This window comes from Homo sapiens, chromosome 2, assembly GCF_000001405.40.
Source record: "Homo sapiens chromosome 2, GRCh38.p14 Primary Assembly".
NCBI classification, from domain to species: Eukaryota; Metazoa; Chordata; class Mammalia; order Primates; family Hominidae; genus Homo; species Homo sapiens.
The window spans coordinates 145,250,077-145,270,225 of record NC_000002.12 but is presented as its reverse complement, the minus strand read 5'-3'; the positions used below and the strand labels follow the sequence as shown (position 1 = coordinate 145,270,225).

The following is a 20,149-nucleotide window of genomic DNA, read 5'->3' as shown; positions in this document are numbered from 1 at the left end:
TAGTCTATACAGTTTGACTGCCAAGTGAAACATTTTTGGCACCTATCTATAAATTACTAGTGAAAAATGTTTTCAAGTAAAAAGTATATGTTTCATACTATGGTTCAACTGTCCTCAATTCAGAGTGAATTGTCGAGCCCATCATAAGTTTAGAAGTGTGATGCATAGGCATAATCTTACCATTAGTATAAGTACTGAGTTTATTAAGTTATCATTTTCCTTTTCAGAGAATTGCTTTAACACTATTCATATTATATTTAAATATCCACAACAATATCTGTTGTTCAATTTCAAATGCCAATCAGTGAACTTCAGAAATTATGCCTAAGGGAATAGCCTGAAAAAATGTTTATCTAGTTTGTATACATAAATTCTGGAGAAAAGGAAAGGGGTTGGTCTGTTAGATTGAGGAATCATGATATGAGGGGTATTTTATTTAGAGAAAGCCTTATTCGTGTAAATTTCTCATGCATCAAGGGAAAAACCCTCACCACCCAATGATAAATGTCTCAATTTTCTTCAAACTACATCCACAAAGTATCTCTAATAATACAACAGCAATATCTTATTCTCAACCTTTTTTTTCCAATCTAGTTCTTCCAATTAACTCCCTAGTTCCACCAATACCATTATAATTTTGCTAACCACTGAGCCTGTTGATGCTAGACTCATCTTCTACTTCTCAACTATCTAGCATCTCTCATACCCATTCTGTTGCCAGTGATAGCATAGCAGATTCCTGGGTGTTACTTGCCAAATCCACAACTCTTTGAGAATTATTCCAGTCTTTTCTGGAAGGTGGAGAAATAGCCATGTTTGTGATCTTAGCCCTCTGGCAATAGCTTATTGGACCAGGTATAGTTACAACACTCAAGCTCCACCAATAAAAATTTTCTTAAGAATGCGAAGTAACCCACATAGAAGTTCCATCAATCAGTGTCCTCACTGGAATGAGGAGATATTACACTTTGCCAGATATCCAAATTGAGCCTAAAGAAGAAATAGCCAGTATTGTTTAAAATAAGAGTGAAACAGAAGTACAGAGACAAAACAGAAGCACAGAGACAAAAAGACATGTGAAATTATGCAACCCCAGAAAGACGGAGAGGTTGGTTTCTATTTCTAATTTTCCAGTCTCTGTTTAAGTACGTTGGAGAACACAGATATGCTTCCTGGTCTTAGACTCCATGTAATCCTGTTATATGTGCTAACTCTCCCCAGCCTTGTTGATTGAGCTGGTTTATATTTGTAGCCAGGTACTGTTCCTCACAGTTTAAGGCACTGACTAAGGGCATTGTTAGAAAATCTCTCCTCATATTTCTCTTGCCTGTACTCTTGTTACCATGTTTACTGTTACCATAACACTTTCAATAATTACTTACATTCACTGAGCATTCATTCAATAGTATTTTAAATGAGTCCCTACTGGGTGCAAGGCATACTTCCAAACCTAAGATAATAATGTTGACCAAAAAAAGCCAGTTCCTTATCTTTTGAAGTTGAAATTTAGTGAGGAGAGTCTTACAAATGTATTGTAGTATATTAATATATAATATTGAATGGAGATAAGGTCTCCAAAAAGAGAGCATCTTTTTGTGAGTGTTTATACAGAGAAAATTGATGTAGAACTGGGATCAGGAAAGGCCTCCAAGAGTAAATGACACTTCAGCTGAGATGTTAAGAAAGAGTAAGCATGGATTTTTAGAGAAGGGCAGGAGCTTCGACATGTTTTAAGAAAAAAAGGGAAGCTCATACAAAATTTCCTATGGCATAAGGAAATCTGAATGATATGGGAACTAAGGACAGGCAAAACAGCCTTGAGCAAAGAATAAGCACAGACAATGCAAGCTATCACTGTAGAGATCACGCAGTGTTTTCGAAAATTTGGATTTTATCTTAAGAATGATGGCATATCATAGAAGAATTTTAATTAGTGACTTGGTGTCACCTAATCAGTTTAGTATTTTTAAGATATTATTCTGGCTGTAGTGTTGAGAAGGAATTGGTAAGGTACCAGATTGGATGTGGTGGACAAACTAGTTGGCAATTTTAGTACCCTGCCAGTCAAACAGTGATGCTGGTTTCCACTTAAACCTTGTAGTATGAAAGGGGGAATGAAAAGATATTTAGAAGAATCAAAAGGACTTGGTGATGATTTTTGTATAGAAATAAAGGAAAGGCTGATATTGTAAATGACTCCAAGGTTTCTGGCTAGAGCAACAAAATATAGGATGGTAGTTCTTACTGAGATATCCTGAAGTTTACCAGGTTTGAGAAAAATGTGTGTTGAAGTGGGGGAGGTGGAGGAACATTCACGACTTAGCAATTAGAAATGTTGAATTTGAAGTACTGTGACATTTTGTGTAAGAGGAGAGATCAGGCTGATATACTGAGAAGCATCAGTATATGGAGATGGTCAGTGGAACCATAGGCAGGGAAGAGATACTATAGGAGAAGATAAAAAGAAAAAGGATAAGGAGGTCTGGTACTAAACCAGGAAGAACTTCAAATTTTCATGGCTGAGTGAATCTGAAAAACACACTGAGAGCATCTCTCAGAAAGATTGGGTCATGAAGTCAAAGCAAAAATATGTTTCCAGAACTACAAGTGTCAAGGAAAAGGAATGCTAAAAAATGTACACTGCATTGAGTGACTGTGAGATTACTATTACCTTTACTAAGAACTGTTTTCTGGAATAAGGAGCAGAGAGAGGACAAAGAGACCAACAGGTACAAAAAGGAGGTGGTAAATGTAAAGCATGATTTTTAAAATTTAGCTGTGAAGGAAAAGGGGGGTGATGAGAGAAAAGTGGACATTTCTCCTCTCTAGTTGAATATGTCCTTGGATGTTGGCTTTTTAAATACTTTGAGTACATGACATTTCAATATGGTCATTTTGGTTAAACTAGCTGGGAAGGGGCCATTAGAATATTTCCAAAAGGTCTTTGCAAGCAACATACCTAACAAGGAATCTAACCCCATGGCTCATCTTCTCCTCTCCTTGAACTAAGCTTATTCCTGGGTCTTATTCCAAGCCCAAGTCTGTCCCCTCCTTTACTGAATTCTCAGGACATCATCGCCCATGCCATTTCATACCTTCACCCATGATGGAACTCTGGAATAAAGTGAGACAACTCCAATAAATATTAGCATAATGCCAGGTATTTTATTACCACTCAAAACTAATTTACTAAATTTAATTGCATAATTACACAGGCAAAAAACAAAGAATGCATTACTAATTTTCACCCATCACCTGGAAAGTATTCTCAGCTATAAGGTTGTATAGGTGTTAAGAAATAATAAAATTGCTGAGGGTCTAATGTGAATGATAAGCTATTTATCCTAAAATTTTCACCATTTTCTTATCTGTGTAGATAAGGAACACATGTTAGTGATAATCGGTTGTAAAGAACAAGGACACACTTACACTATATCGTTTATTCCAAGGATACATATATGTAGGATCCAAATGAAAGCTAAAAACCAAATGCTCAGACCAGAAATATGAGTGTCGTTCTGAATTAAAACCAGCACTAGAAGCCTCAGCCATTAGGGATCCTGGATCTTCTCTCTAGGATCCCAACTACCTCCAATTACTCTGTAACTATTTGTATGTTTGTGTCTGCTCTTCAAATCATTCTTCTATTTATTTCCTTACCTGATGCTTAGTGTGCATGTGTGTGTATGTGTGTGTTTCCTCCTTCATCTAATAGCTTTTTGAACTTAATTGTAATTTCCATTCTCTCATAAATTCCAACTGCATGTGGCCTCATCAGAGCCTCTCCAGTGTCTCCCTTATGACATTTCAACTTTTACCACTGCTGAATCTCTCCCATCATTCTCTCCACATTTGATAATTTTTATGCCAGAGTGAAGAATCTAATTGATCTAGTTAATCATCTTGCACCAGATCACCGTGAGATTTCTACCATTCTATTGACCCACTGCCTGTGGATCACAGGGCAGAATCATTATTTAGTATGGCATTTGGATGTGGAAGCTTTATTTAGAAGAATCTGTGGACTTAGCAGACAGCATAGTTAAGACTGATATCAGGGACAATGCTTAATAGATACTTGAAACCTTTGGTACTATAAGCCTATGGTCTGTGCTCTGTTTCTGGGCTACATATCAATGAATCAGCTGATGAGCATTTTTGAAAGTCTAATTCTAAGGTTTCAGTCAAAACGTTCTAAATGTGGCATTTCTACAGGTTCAATTTAAGAAGCTGGTATATCTTAAAAGCTTCCCAGATCATTCTGCTTCTGCCTTTCAATCGTATAGATTGTGTTCTTGATATAAGAAGTATCTGAAGTTTTAACTAGCATCACTCATTTTCTCGTTTATCTTCTATTCAAAATGTTTGCCATATTTGTTAGAGAATTTATTGATAGCATATATTACAAACTTTTTATAGGTGTGTCCTTTTCCTTAGTGGTCATAAACCAGGAGATGCAAATTGATAAGCCTATAAAGGCCAAGTGTATAACTGAGAATATGGATTCCTTCTGGAAGACAGAAAATGGTGGGGCTTCAGCCCCATCTCACAGCGGCCATGATGATTCAGCTTAATTTAACTCTTCATACAAATATGGGAGATTAGTGTTACCAGAGCTTCTATTTTCAAAAGAAGTTAAAAATCGAGATTTCATAAAAATCTAGATTTTAATAAAAATCTCCATAGCTCATAGATTGATAATTTATTTAAAAATGTACACACACACACACACGCACACATGCACGCATGCACACACACACACGTGCACACACACACACACGCACACACACACACATGCATGCATGCATGCACACACACACACTTTGTAGGCCAAACTTAAATAGCCAATGAAAACATGTTATTGTACCATGGTGCCTTTTAGAGGGAGAATGCATATTACTTTGATTCAGAAGGTGATACCCAAATGTCATGGTTTGTGAGAAGAAAGAGAGAGGTTATATTGCCTGTGTCGGAAGAGAAATTCGGGATGGAAAATAGTAGGAGAAAAATGAGAGGGGGAAGATGGCAATAATGTCAGAATCTAAAGTTCATAAAGAAATGTAGTCAGTGGTGTTGGTGTGGAGTCAAAAGACTTAAATATATATATATATATTGCATTTTTGTGACTTATATTTCTCTCCACCATCTTCCAAAACCTTTAATAAAGGCTTCTTTATATATGAATGATCAATGTGGATTGTATAAAGGAAAATCCAGCAAAGGGGGCTAAATTCCATGCTTAGATTGTAGCATCTGGTAGACAATGGAGATAAACTATGGGAATGGACATGTGTAGGAAAATGAGAGTTGACAGATTTCACGACTGGATTCAATCCAAAGGTAATCATGAGAACCCAAGGCCCTGGGAATAGGCAGAACTTAAGGAGGTACCATTGACCTTCTCAGATCCAGCATAGGGGCTAAGTTCTTGTTTCCTTCCCAGTGCTAAGTTTTCCTAGGTGCTGTGTTATATGGGATACAATGACAAATTTTATATGACACTGTTTCTGTCCCTCTAATCAGCTGACCTACTTTATTCAGGACAAATTTTGGTTATCCTTATTCTCTCCTCTTTAAATATGGTACCAAGAACTAAATGTGCACAATATTGATTAAAATTTGAAAGACGCTGTATAGACAGGGAAGGCTTTCACCTTACACGAAATGCTGTAAAATGGCAAAAGCAACGACAGAGGAAAACAGAAAATAGCAAAAGATTTCTCTATTGTGACAACACAGGGCTTTAGTTCGTATGATAATCTTAGGTTAATGATCATGTAAAATAGGTAAAGGGAAAAGCAGTGAAAAGATAGTGATCTTACTATGAGGTAGTAGATTAAGAAAGATGCAGACAATTTTTTATTCCTTTTTATGAGATTTTGAATAGTGGTTGAATAAGAAAATATTTTTGATGTCCAAGTACTCATTATAGCAAATGCTGTGAAATACAGAAATAAAATGTGATAGACAGTAATAACCACCAGGTTTGATATTTATATACAGAATATGAATATCTGAATTTGCTATTTGCAGTCTGTCAATTGCAGGAAAAATCTTCCTTTCAGTCATGATTGTCCTCTCTATAAAATAGTGATATGTGGTCTTATCTCCTATGGCTATTACGAAGATAAAGAACATGAAGTAATTTCTTTAAAAGTTAATTTTGAGAATTTAGTTCCAGTTGTCATAAAAATGTCCTTATTATTCAACTATAAGCTAAAAATTCTAGAAAACTCTTTTTTATCTCTTAATTTATCTTCTCTGTGAGGTATCTCAGAAGAATCAAAGATTATGTCCTCATTCTTGGCAGTGGTCTCAAGAGAAGACCACAACCTCTTGCTAATTAGCTGCACCAATTTCTGGACTACTTATTACATGTTCCAGGGATATCCTTGTTTTAAAATATATATATAATTGGAATTTAAGCGTGCTAACTGGAGTTCTGATCCACTCAATTCTGACACCCAGCATCTAATTTGAAAAATCTCCTGAAATCATCTATTCCTTTTAGTCACTGTATTCAGATATGGTAAGAATTTCAATTGTGAACTTTCCATAGTTATGGCACTTAGATTCATAAATATTTTAAAGAAATTTGCACTTTCTGTCACTGACTTCACAGGATGGTCAGCGAAGCTTCTCTTCTCAAGCAGACCTCCTTACCTTGGTTTGGTCTTCTCAGATACTACACTTTGACATAAACTTAGAATGAAATCCATGAACACTATGAACTAAGGATATATTCAAGTTAACACCTTTCAGAAATGGATAGTTTCATAATATATTTCGGGAATCCACACCAATTTATAAAAATAACTTTACCTATAAACCAAATAGAAAAAGAAAAAAACAAATACAAAAGTAAGTTGTTATTTCTTACAACTAATACAAATTCTTTATGACACAATATCAGGTTGGCTCGATAATTTTTTCTCAATGAACAAAAAGGCAAATCAAGGAAACAATTTTTAAAGTACAAACTACAGTGAATCATATGGAATGTCATTTTGGAGAACAAAAAATATTGTCTCAGTAATTACATATGGTTCAATCTAGTACATCCAAAAACCTCAAAAGACTTTCTGTTCTTCTTTTGCTTCAAAAGAGCCTCAAAATGCATGTCAAAGTTTTTCCTTTCTAGATGCTCCATCTATCTCAATAGACAAAGTGCCTCATAAAGCCAGAATGACTTAAAAAGATTATAGACTATTCATATCAAGTAATGAAGAATTCCAAATGTTTTCTCATTCTAAATTTCTCTTTATTATAATTTTTTATTAATAACATATCCAGTTGAATATCTTATATAACATTTGAGAAGCAATAAATTATAATGGCTTACACTTATATTATGCTTTCCCAGATGAGCTCATCTCATAGACATTGTCTTATTAATATTCAGAATTGTTCTGAAATGTAGGTAGAGATGATTATGTTGAACAGTGATGGAACTGCAGAGGAAAGGTGCACTCCCTTTGCTCTCCATTTGATCTTGACTTGAAAAAGACAGTAGAAAGTAAAGCTAATAGCTGAAATTGAAGCTGATAGGATGGAGAGTTTAATAGGCTTCTTTCCAATACTAATGTAAGATCCATGAGTCAGGGACCATATCTTGCTCTGTCATATCTCTAGATTTTAAGAAGAGTGTGTTATACATACAAATGGTTCATCAAATATTTTTCAAATGAATTTTTGGGATATGCATTATTACACCTATGTCATACATATGCTCTTGTCTTATTTAAATTGTTTTACCACAATTGTAGAAAAATAGATCTTCCTAAACAATTCAAATCAATTTTTTCCTAAACTTATAATTTTGCATATTGAAAATATTGCATGTCGTTATTAAAATTTTTTTATTTTTGTTTTTTTACAGATGACTAACCTGAGGTTCAGGAAAGAAAGTTGAGGTAATTAGCCCAAAGCCTCTGATAAAGTAATTGGCAGGATTCAGTCTCTGGTTGTTACAGATTCTAAGTCCTAGTTATTTTCCCTGTAGTAGACTGCATTCCCATTTTATTATCATAAACTTTTTTATCTCTTAAAATATGATATTTAAATGCAAATTCATTTTATTGAATAGTTTTGTTCAATTGAGTTGTCATTTATATATCATCATTGCAGCACTCTTATATTAGAACTCTTACTAATAGTAGATGTAGAGAAGAAAGGAAGAGATAATGAATAGACAACACATTTTAGGAAACATTCATTGGTAAAGGCAATTCTCTGGAACTTTGCAGAAATTTGTATAAAGCCCAAAAATATGGAAAGTTAGTACCTATAATTTCTGTAATTATAATCATCCTTCAATCATATTCCATATAGCGAATCCACATGACCTAAAGAAGAAAAAAAGGTTTGAAGAAATGAGACTTAGATTTTGAATGATAAACAGACCTGAGAATTTCTCCAACAGGGTGAAATCACAAGCAAATAATTGGGAAAGGTGAGGAAGTGCCTCTCAATTCTACATAGCAGTGCGAGAAAGACATCCAAAATGATGGTAAATTGTTTCTTCTTCACATTCTAATAGACACAGTTTCTGTGAAGAAGCATAAAACATTTTTTCCTCCTGTAAAACACCTGTGTCTAGTAATTAATATGTATCATCCACTGTAATATGAATAAGGAGAAAATTCATAGGAGCAGGCTGATGAATCTTAGCAGACATTCTTTTATTCCATGACTATGTCTAATATAACCCTTAAAAAGCTGTAATAACATTTAAAAAGTAGTATCTTCTACTGCTCAGTGGAAATGTGGCAGAACATATGTAAGCAGAAAAAATAAACATGAGCATAACTGATTTAGAAGATAAAACATAAAAACAAGGGTTTTCAAAGTCAAGTCAATGAAAATATTGATAACAAGTGATTTTGTACATACAAGTCAGATATTTTATGGATCTGGGAGCCATAGCTTTTTTTCAGGTAGGAAATAAATACTATTTCTAAAGACCCTCAGTCCTAAAAATGTCTGCATCTCTGTCACTTAATGTAAAAATGGCACATAACAGGTACGCAATAAATGCTTCTGGGAAATTGAACAAATGAATTGCAAAGTTCATAATGATGCAGTCCCTGGTTTAGTGAGTTTAATAGACTATAGAAACGTATTTGAACATCAGATCTGTACATCTACGGTATTTTAGCTGGTAGAGCTGAGTAAACATCACACTGTAATAATCTCTCATGCATATTTTAGTCATTTGGATAATCTAAAAATACCAGTGCCTACCTCAAACCTCAGAGATTCTGATTCAATTGTTCTAGTATAGGAGGTGGGCATCAGTACTCTTAAAAGCTACCCAAATTATGGTACTGTGTATACCACTGGAATTAGACCGAATTGTCTATGCTACCAATTTGGTGGTCATAAGTGTCACCTATAAGCAGTAGATAGTCATCGTTGGGTTTCCAGCAGAAACCTAAGGAGACTAAATATTTTAGTCATACTGACTCTACAAGGATGTGCATATTTTTAAGGCAGACTTAGTAAGATTCATCATCTGAGTCTGCTAATTTTTTTAGCAAATATATATTGAGTGCCTAGTATGTGTAGGCAGTGTCCTGGCAATGGGAATACAGCAAAGAGAAAGTTAGTCAAAGTCCCTACTATAATAAAAGAGAGATTATTCCACCTCATACCAAAGTATTCTAGTGTGATTGAAGGGACTACTACCCTCCCCACCACCCCACCACCACCCCAAAAAAGAAAGCAGTAGGCAATGGGAATACATAACAGGAAGAGCCCCTAGATATAACAGCCCCTAGATTAGGGGCTCAGGATAGGTCCTGAAGGAAGACCTGAAATTGTAGGGACCAGTGGAGAGGGCATTCTTAGCCAAAAGGAGTATGTATTAAAAAAGACATAGCAAAGGGTTTTTGAGGTTGAGGAACTGTAGGTCATTGTGGTTGAAGCATAAAGAGTGAGGGGGCACATGGCTTTTAGCTGAAGCTGGTGAGGTATGTTTAGTCAGATAATGAGAATGGAGAGCTATTGTATTTAAGATATTTAACTTCCTGAACAGTTGCCAATTCTGTCCAATTTTCCAGTTCACACTATTTAACTCTCTCTCTACCCCCTGTCACTAACCTAATCAAAACTACCATATCTGTCTCCTAATTTCTCCTGTTTATTCTCTTACTGAAACCAGTATAATCCTTTGAAAATAAACATAAATGTTATAATTTCATGCTACTGCTTGAAGTCTTACAATAATTTCTTAATGACAAGGAAAATATTTAGAGCTTATTATGGACTTGTGTCATCTGACCTCTCTCTCTCTCTCTCTCGGATCATCATGTCATCACTTGCCACTCTTCCACCGCCATATTGAATTTCTTTCAATTGTTCCGATTTGCCAGACTTTCTCACACAGGTTTTCTCCTCTGCCTGCTTGTCATGTGTGATTTAACTTGCTTATCAGAAAACTTACTCTGTGGTTTTTTTTTTTTTTTTGTCCCAGCTAGACTATAAACCAACATGTATCCTAAACTCCTAGCACAGAACTGGTCCATATTTATTGAATGCACCTGTAAGAGAAAGAATAATTGCACTTGAGATCCTATACTAAAAATTTCTGGGCTGGTCAAATGAATAAGCTTTTCTTCAATACTTTTTAATGGAAAATTAAAGTTTTTAATAGCTCATGGCATATTTATTCCACATGTAGCAATAAATTTTTAAAACATTAAAAATGGCTTGTGATATGGTTGTGTTTAACAAGTGACGATCTCTTTCTGAGCTTCAGCGGAGATCAGAAACTGATGGGGTAAAGAGCAGGCACCACTCACACAGTATGTGGGCATTGAAGTAGTCATTTACCACTTGCAACACTTAGCCACTTCCACAACTCTCTCTGACAAATCTTACCACAAAACCACATGCTCCTCCAATTGCTTGACAGAAGTTCGACTTGAAAAGGTTTCCTTCAGTGTAGATTTTCTTTGTTTCCAGTTAGTGATAGAAGTAAAGCCTATCACAACCTGTGTGAGCTCTGCATTCAAGATATTCTGTGACCCAAACAAAGGCCTAGGAGAGGTATGGGAAATGAAAATGGAATAGAGCAATCAGTATCCAGAAAATAGGACAACCCACATGGCCGTTCCCTGTAACACATGTTCAGATATTCTTGAAGAACCCAGATGACATGCTAGGTAGTTTATTTTCCAAGGGGAGTGATCTGGTAGGTAAAGCAAGACAATAATATTTGTTAAGTAGTAGCAGTGCTCAGAATTTTAGGTGTGAGGTGATCTCATGTTTTGAGGTGGTTTGTTTGGAGGAAGATCGGAGCAGATTTCTGGTAGCTGCTTAGCTGTGCAAAGAGATGAGACAGCAAACAAAGACAATGTTACTCTTTGAAAGATGTCTGGCTCAAATAAGCAATGTAGTGTTCAAAGCAATGCTTCATTTCCACAGGGACGAGCTTGCTGGAATATGGTTGTGAATCGGGGGAAATGTAGTGTCATAAAGAATGTGTAAGCCTGGTCAGAGAGTAGTTTCAGGTGAACAACCAGTTCCCTTGGCTGACAGGTGTCCTGAATTCCCCACAGGTGTAACTAATGTGCTAAGGGCTGAAAACTCCTGTCCACCTCAGGTAATAGAGATGAGGCTACAATCAACTACCAGACTAGCTGAGAACTGTGGCTTAGAACCCAGTTAAGCCAAAGCATATTGCCTGAAAGGACTTCAGTGCTGTTAAGGACAGCATGGAAGGAATTATAGATAGAGTTGCCTTTATCAATTGTTCTCATTTGTGCTTCATTTCTTTCTCAGCTGGGCCCTGGGTTTACCATGATTTTTCTACCTGCTCCATGGTTCTGGTGGCCCTGGTGCCTTATACCAAGTCAGTCCTCTACTATAGCATGCCCCGCTTCTTATTCATCCTTCTCCCAGCTGAAATATTTGCATCTCACATAGACCTCTCTGCCATAGTTTTAAAGCAATGTCACTGAAAAATGAAGCTCCTCTAGCAAGGAACAGGGGGTTAAAAAAGTTTGGGGAAAGGAACAAGGAAGGAAAAGCTTAATACCACAGTTTCTGGAACAAGATTGGTTGGGTATATATCCTTACTAACTGTAGGATCATGTTATCTTCCATCTGACCTCAACCTTCTTACCTATAAAATGGGTACAATAATAACAGCACTTACCTTGTTGGGTGGTTGTAAAGAGTGAGAAAATACAGGCAACATGCTGGCAACAGTGCTCAGCACAAAATAGCTTTCAATAAATCTTAGCTATTAATTATTGTTTTCTGACATTCCTCAAATCATCATGGCATTTTAATAGCTATCTATTCATCCAATATGGGATAGGAGATCAGACCTCAAAGAAATAAATACATCCGGAATATTCCAAACTATGTAGCTTTTTCTTTGAACTACCTATCATGTGACAAATAGTTAAAACTTCTGAAATACTGAATGTTCCACCACCTATAAATGGATTACTTACAGGATGCTCTTGTACTATATAGAGCTAAGCCTCCAAAATGACCTGAAGATAATAGCAATTATTGCTAAAGCCTAACTGAATTCATCTTGTCTCCCATCTTCCATGTGACTTTATAGTAGTTAAAAATTGATCTATTTTTAAAATAACAATTGTATAATTTAGTTTTCTTAATTGGAGTAGCATTTTTTCCTCTTTACTCCCCTGCTTTACACTAACTCTTCTTCTCTCCCCTGCCTTACACTAACTCCTCTTCATACATGAAAGCATTCTATATGTGTATGATGAATGCATAATAGGTAACTAAGATATGCATGGTAAAAGGTAAATGGTTTCTCTAATTAGGCTTAAATAAGACTGAATAATCAATGAAGATGGATAAAATAATCCTAACATTTTAATTATTTTGTTTTTACCAAGCTGTGTACACAGTGAGACCTAAAATCATAATTCTGAAGTAAATCACATTTAAAAAATTACAGCTTTATTTTTGCATTGATATATTGTGCAAAGATTTTCAGTTTCTTGAATACAGATTGTGGAATCAAATCTTGCTTTCACCATTTACTGCATGATGTTGGGCAAATCACTTAAGTTCTTTGGATCTCAGTTACATCATAAGTTACATGAGGATAATAAGATTACTTCCCTTGGTGTTATTTTGAAGTTTCCAAGATTCCTCCTGTTATTAATGTCTAGCTTTTTACCATTGTAACTGAAAAAGATATGTGATATTACTTTGACTTCCTTAAATGTATTAAAACTTGTTTGGGGGCCTCACATGTGATCCATTCTGGAGAATGTTTTATGTACGCTTGATAGAATGCATATTTAATTGTTGTTGGGTGGATATTATAGAGCAGTTTTGAAAAGGAATTTATCTTAATAAAATGCTTAGAACAGTATCTCACATAGAACAAGAGCTATGTAAATGTGTGTTTGCTATTTAAAAATACAATAGTCACACAGCAACGGTAAATTCCACTAATGTATGCCTTATATGGTACAATAAGACAGGCTGATGCAATTGTCAACTTAAGTCTTCTAAGCTTTCAAGCTCAGAGCACCAGAGGATGGCTGGGTGTTTTTGTATGTGTGCCTATCTTGGCTCTATCTTTAATATAGCAACTTTAGTTCACACTTTATTTAGCTAAATAAAAAATGTTTACACTTCCTTTAAGGCTGTTGGTCTTCCAGGCCTCTGGCAGCAGATACAAAAAAAAAAAAAATAATAACATCCTGCTTTGCATGGCCAAAGGTTGCACGGCTTCAAGAAAGTTGTACCAAATGTGTTTGAGGAAATACATGATAGGCTGCCCTTGCAAAGACTGCATGATGTTCCAGAGGAGTTTAGTCTTTACCTTTAGATTTCTATGCAGTTAGCTATTATCCTGAAATATTCCTGAACTCCCAGAGTGTAGCAAGCAGCTTCAGGAACTGGCAATGTTTATAAGTCCCAACTGAGTGTTTTCACTCCCTTGATCTCCAGTTCCAAAGGATCCATGTGGAGTTTGGTGACAAGTGGAATAATTTGAGTCTCTATTTGAAGTGGAAGCCTCATTGGCTGTTTTAACCTATGTACAGATTATAATTTCACAGAAGGAATATCTAATAGGCTTGTACACAAACTAAAGACTCAATAGGTGTCTTATCCCAATATTTTCCCATTTTGTAGTTGTATAGCAATAAGGACAGTACTACTTTTAGGGTATACATTAGGAACATAGAAGTAATAAAATTCCTTCTCTGACCAAGCCCCAATTCTTTTCAAAATTTTTGAGAAGGAGAGAGGGAAAAAGGGCAGTTAGTTCTCTTAACAATAATTGTGTATTAAAACCATCCCCAAACACAATGTCTTATGACAGCTATTTCTCAGGCACAGCCTACAGGTCTTTATGGTTGGGCTGATCTTGGCTAGACTTGGTGTGATTTGGTTTCAAGGGTATGTTTGGCTCAGCTCTGTTCCACATGTCTCTGATCCTCTTTGGACCAAAAGTATATATATACTTAAAACATGTTTTTTTCCTACCAAAATGCAGAGGGGTAAGAATACAAGCCCAACAATGCAAGCCCGGTCTCAAGGCTCCCATACATTCGCCGATTATCTAATTTTTCAAAACAAGTCAAAGATTGGGAAAGTACATTCTGCTTACCATGAGACCATGGAAATAAGTTAGGGGTGGGAGAAGGGTGGTATTGATAAGTAAGGAGTGAATACATGCTGAAAATGAATTTGAATAACTAGATGAACAAACTCATGGATAACTAACTGAATTTCCAAAGTAAAAGTACCAAGATGATTGTTTCCAGCGGCTAGATATTGGTTCAATTTGCCTTTAAGAGGTATAGATACATATACTTAGGGTTGTTTTGTTTAGGCAGAAAAGGGGAGTATCATCTCTCCATAAGGTCCTTGGCCCATATTCTCCTCACCTCTCTATAAACACTAAGTGCCAGAAAAACATCCTTGGTTCATGCCTCAAGCCATATACATATAAAGGGAACAGTTTCTTCTCTTCTCTGAATAATTTATGGCTTTTTCCCTTCGATCCTCTTACTGTGAAACTATAATCCATATGACTATCAAAAATCACAAAGTTGCCAATCTAAAGCAAAAGTGTTCTTGAAATCTGTGAACCCAAAAAAGTTTCATTAATTATTACTGTATGGACTGCAAACTGTGATTGTAGAGATTCAAGAATGAACAATACAGGAATGCCCCCTTCTCTTAAGGAAAGTAAGTATAGTTGGGAATATAAACAGGCTATTGTATAATACTGCATGGAAACTGCTGTGATAAGATGAGCAGAACATGATAGATAATGGAAGAGAAGCTCTGCATTAAAGGAAGGAAGCTGAGGTTGTGCCTCTATAAAGTGAGACAAAGAGTGGAATATGTATGTGTGTGTGCATATCTGAGGCACTGCTGATACTGAGAAACCAGTTGTAAGGAAAGGCCATGGTTCTGCAAGAGTGAAAGGCTTAAAATGATATTCTGGAAGAAATTGAGTTACTAGTAACGGTAAGGTCTAGGGTATTACCTTGAGAGTGAGTGTCTGAGGAAAGGCAGAGGCCAAGGAATGAAGAGGCCAGGGAATCAGAAAGATCATCTATGAATCTGCAGATATCAAATTCCTCAGGAACTATGTTAGGAGTATTCCTGGAGAAAATATCAGCAAACTTAGAAATTAAACCTTTAAGCAATGAGAGTGGCCCAGCACATCTGTGTAAAGGGCTGCGAGTTGGAGGAGGAGTGGGTGGGGTTGTCTGATGATTTGAAGCTGAAAGCTGGGTGTTTTCTCGGAGGAAAATGATGTAGTAGTTGAGCAAGGAAAACATGTACTCAACCTTCCTACTCAATAATAGGAGAAGAGTGGGAGCAAAATCAGGCACCAATTGAGAGAGCTGAAGAGAAGAAAGTACCTACAGGTGAGAATTATAAAGGGAATTTTTTTTAGAACAATAAGGTGAGGGGAATATTCAAAGAAGAAGATTAGGATTGATCTATGGGGAGGTGCACGGAAGACTTGCTATGAGTCAAAGAGGGCAAGGTGGAAGAGTGTTTAGGCGTCAGGAAGGGGTAGAAATAGGAGCAGACACACAGAGATGTGTGGAATAGAAGGCAGGGAATTAGAATTTGGGTTTATCATGGTAACGGACATAAACATCAATAAAGAGCATGAGTAGATTGATCCTCATGGTCTCAAGGCATAAAGTTGTGTTGAGCCTATCAGCGTGAGGGTAACGAAGGGCTGCACGTCTTTCCAGGAGCACTCAGTGTTCTGGGCTACTTATAGACTCCATTCTGTGGAAGGCCAGGAAGAGGAGGAGAGGTTGGGAGCCAATTAATGGAAATTAAGCATAAGAAAAGTAGAGAGAACCCACCACATTCTAAAAGAAAGCTGACTCAACTCTTCTCTGTTTAAAGAAAGCAACTCAAATCTCTTCTTCCTGATGAATCCAGGAGTCACAGAACCTGTTTGTCTCTTTTGCTTCTAATTTTTCAACACTTTCGGTTTAGTGTGTTGGGTTATACATACCTATATTAACATAATCTACTCCATTACACAAATGTAATATAACACCTTGTTTGAGAGAGTCAAATACCTTGAGTCCAAAGTCTAGCCCTTTTAGTAACCAGAAATGTATTTAACTTCTTATGTCTCAGCCTTCATGCAAGTAAAAGTGAGATAATAATAGTACATAGCACATAGGACTGTTGGGAGAACTCTATTAGTTAGTTATATAAATATATACAATATCATAAAAGTTCTCAGACATTTTAATGGCCTAAAATACATTGTATATTTTCAAGAAGGAGGTGTATTACCTGAAAAATGAGATTTGTATTAACACAGAAATGCATTTGAATTCTTACTAGTGATGTAATATTGGGCAAGTTACTTAATCTCTCAAAAAAAATAGTTACATATATAAAATCTATTTTACAGAACTTATGGGAATAGAAGGACCTAGAACAAAAGACCAGATCTTCTTGTTTCATTTGTGAGTTGGCTTATTAGGAAATTTGTTACTTGATGATGGGTATTCTAACATATAAAACATATGTTTTAATTATTAAATAGCATATTATAATTTATTAATAAGTCTTATGACAGCTTACACAGAACCCTCAGTGAGGGCACATGTGGCAATGGTGGTGTGTAAAACTAGTGACTAAACATCATTGCCTTAAATATTATTATCACAAATGCATTTATGGCTCAAATCATTCTTGTCTAAATTAGATGAGGTATAAATCATATCATTTCCTGTTTGGGGTCTTGCTCCAGTGAAAAGAAAAAAAAGTCTTTCTACTGTGAAACTCCCTCTTTTTCATACTCTCTGATCCTTCTACCTAAGTAGAAAATGTCATAATAAGGGAATACATTTTTTGATGGAAGTGAATTCACCTTATATCTGGATTAAATCCTTGTGAACTCTGGGATGAATGAGAGCTTTATTTCTCCCACCAGGGAATTATGTCCTAAAATTATCCACCAGTCTGTTTGCCTTACAGCCTCCTCTCCATCTCCTCTAACTGTCCCTGTGCTCTGAGCAGTGGCTCTGTTCTGCATTGCTTGAGTGCCTATGATGCCAACGCTATGGAAATATTTTCATATTTAGGAATCAAGTGTTAAGGCTTTGAAGGCTCAAGAGTCTAGGGGATGTTTATGAGGCGCTATTTGACAGAACAATCAGCAATGGCCCCTAGTGCAATGGAACTGTAGAGAGTCTGTCCTTATTTTAGGACTGAAACTTCACCAACACTATACATTTGAAGAAGACTGGGACCTCTCTGAGCATTAGACTGTGAGGTAACAGAAATAACTGTCATGATAAAAAAAATTGCTAAAAAATAACTCAAAGCTATTCTGAAGAAATAGTTTGCCTCTCTCAGTAAAATAATCCTGAGAGGATTAGAGGTGAATCCTTTAAGGCCACAGATGTTTCTCACTATTATTATGGCTCTGTAATTCACTATCATACTAGCAACCACACAAAGATGATTTGTAATATGGATAATATATATCTTTAATGCTCAATAATCACATTTATTATCAGGTAATACATAATGTTATTTGTGCTTCATATTTTAAAATGGCATGTAAAGTAATGAGTAAAAGAATTCATCAGCAGTGTTGACAAGATTTTTAATTCATCGGTTTCCTTTGGTATTTTTCTTAAATAGAATAAGTAAGCAATGTAACCCTTACGTAAAACACATCTCAGTTTATGTTTATTCTGCTTTTTTATTGCACATTTGAAAATTAATAATTCAATGTTCTAATATTAGCTGTCATCTTAGCTGTGATAAAATTAATAATTCATCAAAATGATATCAAACAAATGGTGCCTTTTTTTGTTCTGGATGAGAAATAGTCCTCTCAGCTTTGAGAAACTACAATTGGTGAATTTATTTCTTTTATTTTGGGTCAACTAATATTTAATCATTTAAGCTATAATTTTAATGCTTTCATTTTAAATATAAAAATATGCATACATCACAATTGATGCTAAGAAAACAACCTTCTTTTTGTTACAGTAGATTGTTCCTACCCTTGCTCATTCCTTGGCAGATAAGCTTTCTTCAGAAAAAACAAGAAAAGTCATGTTTTGGAAAAGTTAAATATAAATGAAATGATGCCTTTCATTCTGGCTGATGTTATACTTGCACCTTTTCTAGGCTACAATTCATTGTAAGTATGTCATCGGACTGATGGGTACAATAGTCAGAGACGCGGAACATTTTTTTTCTGAATAATATATTTCCTTGAATTCATTTAAATATATTTTAAGTTAAAATAATGTGTTCTTAAGTGTTTATTTTCAGTTTTAAAAATGTGAGCTTAAAACACCTGCTTTCAAAAGTCTTTATATTTTTCTTCATTCTTTGACAGAATCTTTGTCTCTTTAATTATAGATATTGTTTTTGGGGTCCCAGGATTGGGAGTGGGAGTTATAATAAACCCATTTATTTAAATCCTTCCTGTTTCATTCCCATAATTTTTTCTTGGGTGAGTTAGCAGGAGATTATGGTAGTATAGAGCAAAGCATTGCTGCTTATATTAAGGCCCAAGTTCTCATCTTCACTCAGCCTGAGTTTATGAACAATCTGTATAAAATAGGGAATTTGTAATATATCAAAGGATATTCAAGGTCCCACCATAACATTCTGTATCGTAAATCTGGCAAATCTTCCTGAATCATAAGTCCAACATATTCAGGTATGGTAAGAAGTAAAAGTGTGTTTTATGGGTAAGTATGAAATGTTACAATCTGCCTCTTCATTCTGAGTTCGCTTATTTTTATTTTTATTTTTATGTTGAGAGAAAGGGTCTTACTCTTTCACTCAGGCTGGAGTGCAGTAGTGTGATCATAGCTCACTGTAACTTCAAACTTCCAGGCTCAAGGGATCCTCCCGCATAGTTAGGACTACATGTGCACGCTATTATGCCTGGCTAATTTTCTCTTTTTGAGACAGGGTCTCACTATGTTGCCCAGTGGTCTTGAACACCTGACCTCAAGCAATCCTCTTGCCTTGGCCTCGCAAAGAACTGGAAATTATAAGCACGAGCTACCATGTCAGGCCTGTGCATACTCTTTTTTGGTCTGTTGTTTTAACTCCAGCTTCCCCAATATCAATGTACATTAGTACCACCTGAGGTGCTTGTTCAAATGCAAAGTCCCAGTCCAATTTTAGAGATTCTGATTCAGTGAGACTAGTTTGGAGCCCCAAATTCACATTTCCAAATAAGCACCCAGACAATTTTAACACGAGTGGTCCACACAGGGTTATCAACTGTCCTGGCTTGACTAGATAGTCCCAGCATTGCTTCTAATACCAATAGTAAATATACTATTAGTAAGAGTGCCCCCTTTAACTCTTGAAAGTGTTTTAGTTTAGATGATAAATAAGATGGTTGCTTTACTCATAGACCACACTTTGAAGAACACATAATCTTTGCTTCTCAGTGAAGCATAAAAGCAGAGTTTGAAAGAAGTGTTTTGATGTGTGTACTAGAACTGGATGTCAGGTTAACAATAAACTTTTGCACTATGAAATGGTTGTCTTCTTCCTCTCCTCCCCTTCCCATGGTGATACAAGTGTCAAGTTTGCTGCATTCTTTTTTATTTTAAATGTATTCAAACCCTATTAGTTTGCATTTGGATTATTCAAATGTGTA

The 20,149-nt window shown here is 35.8% G+C and overlaps 1 long non-coding RNA gene across 1 annotated transcript in view; it reads right to left on the bottom strand.

Moving 5' to 3' along the window:
* Positions 1–6,115: 6,115 nt before the first annotated feature.
* Positions 6,116–20,149, bottom strand: part of LOC100505498 (uncharacterized) — a 257,710-nt gene continuing 243,676 nt past the window's right edge. The window contains exons 7-8 of the long non-coding RNA XR_923410.3: positions 10,882–11,040; positions 6,116–8,345 (exon numbers count right to left, since the gene is read on the bottom strand). This is a non-coding gene — a long non-coding RNA (uncharacterized LOC100505498). The remainder of the gene's footprint in view (positions 8,346–10,881; positions 11,041–20,149) is intronic.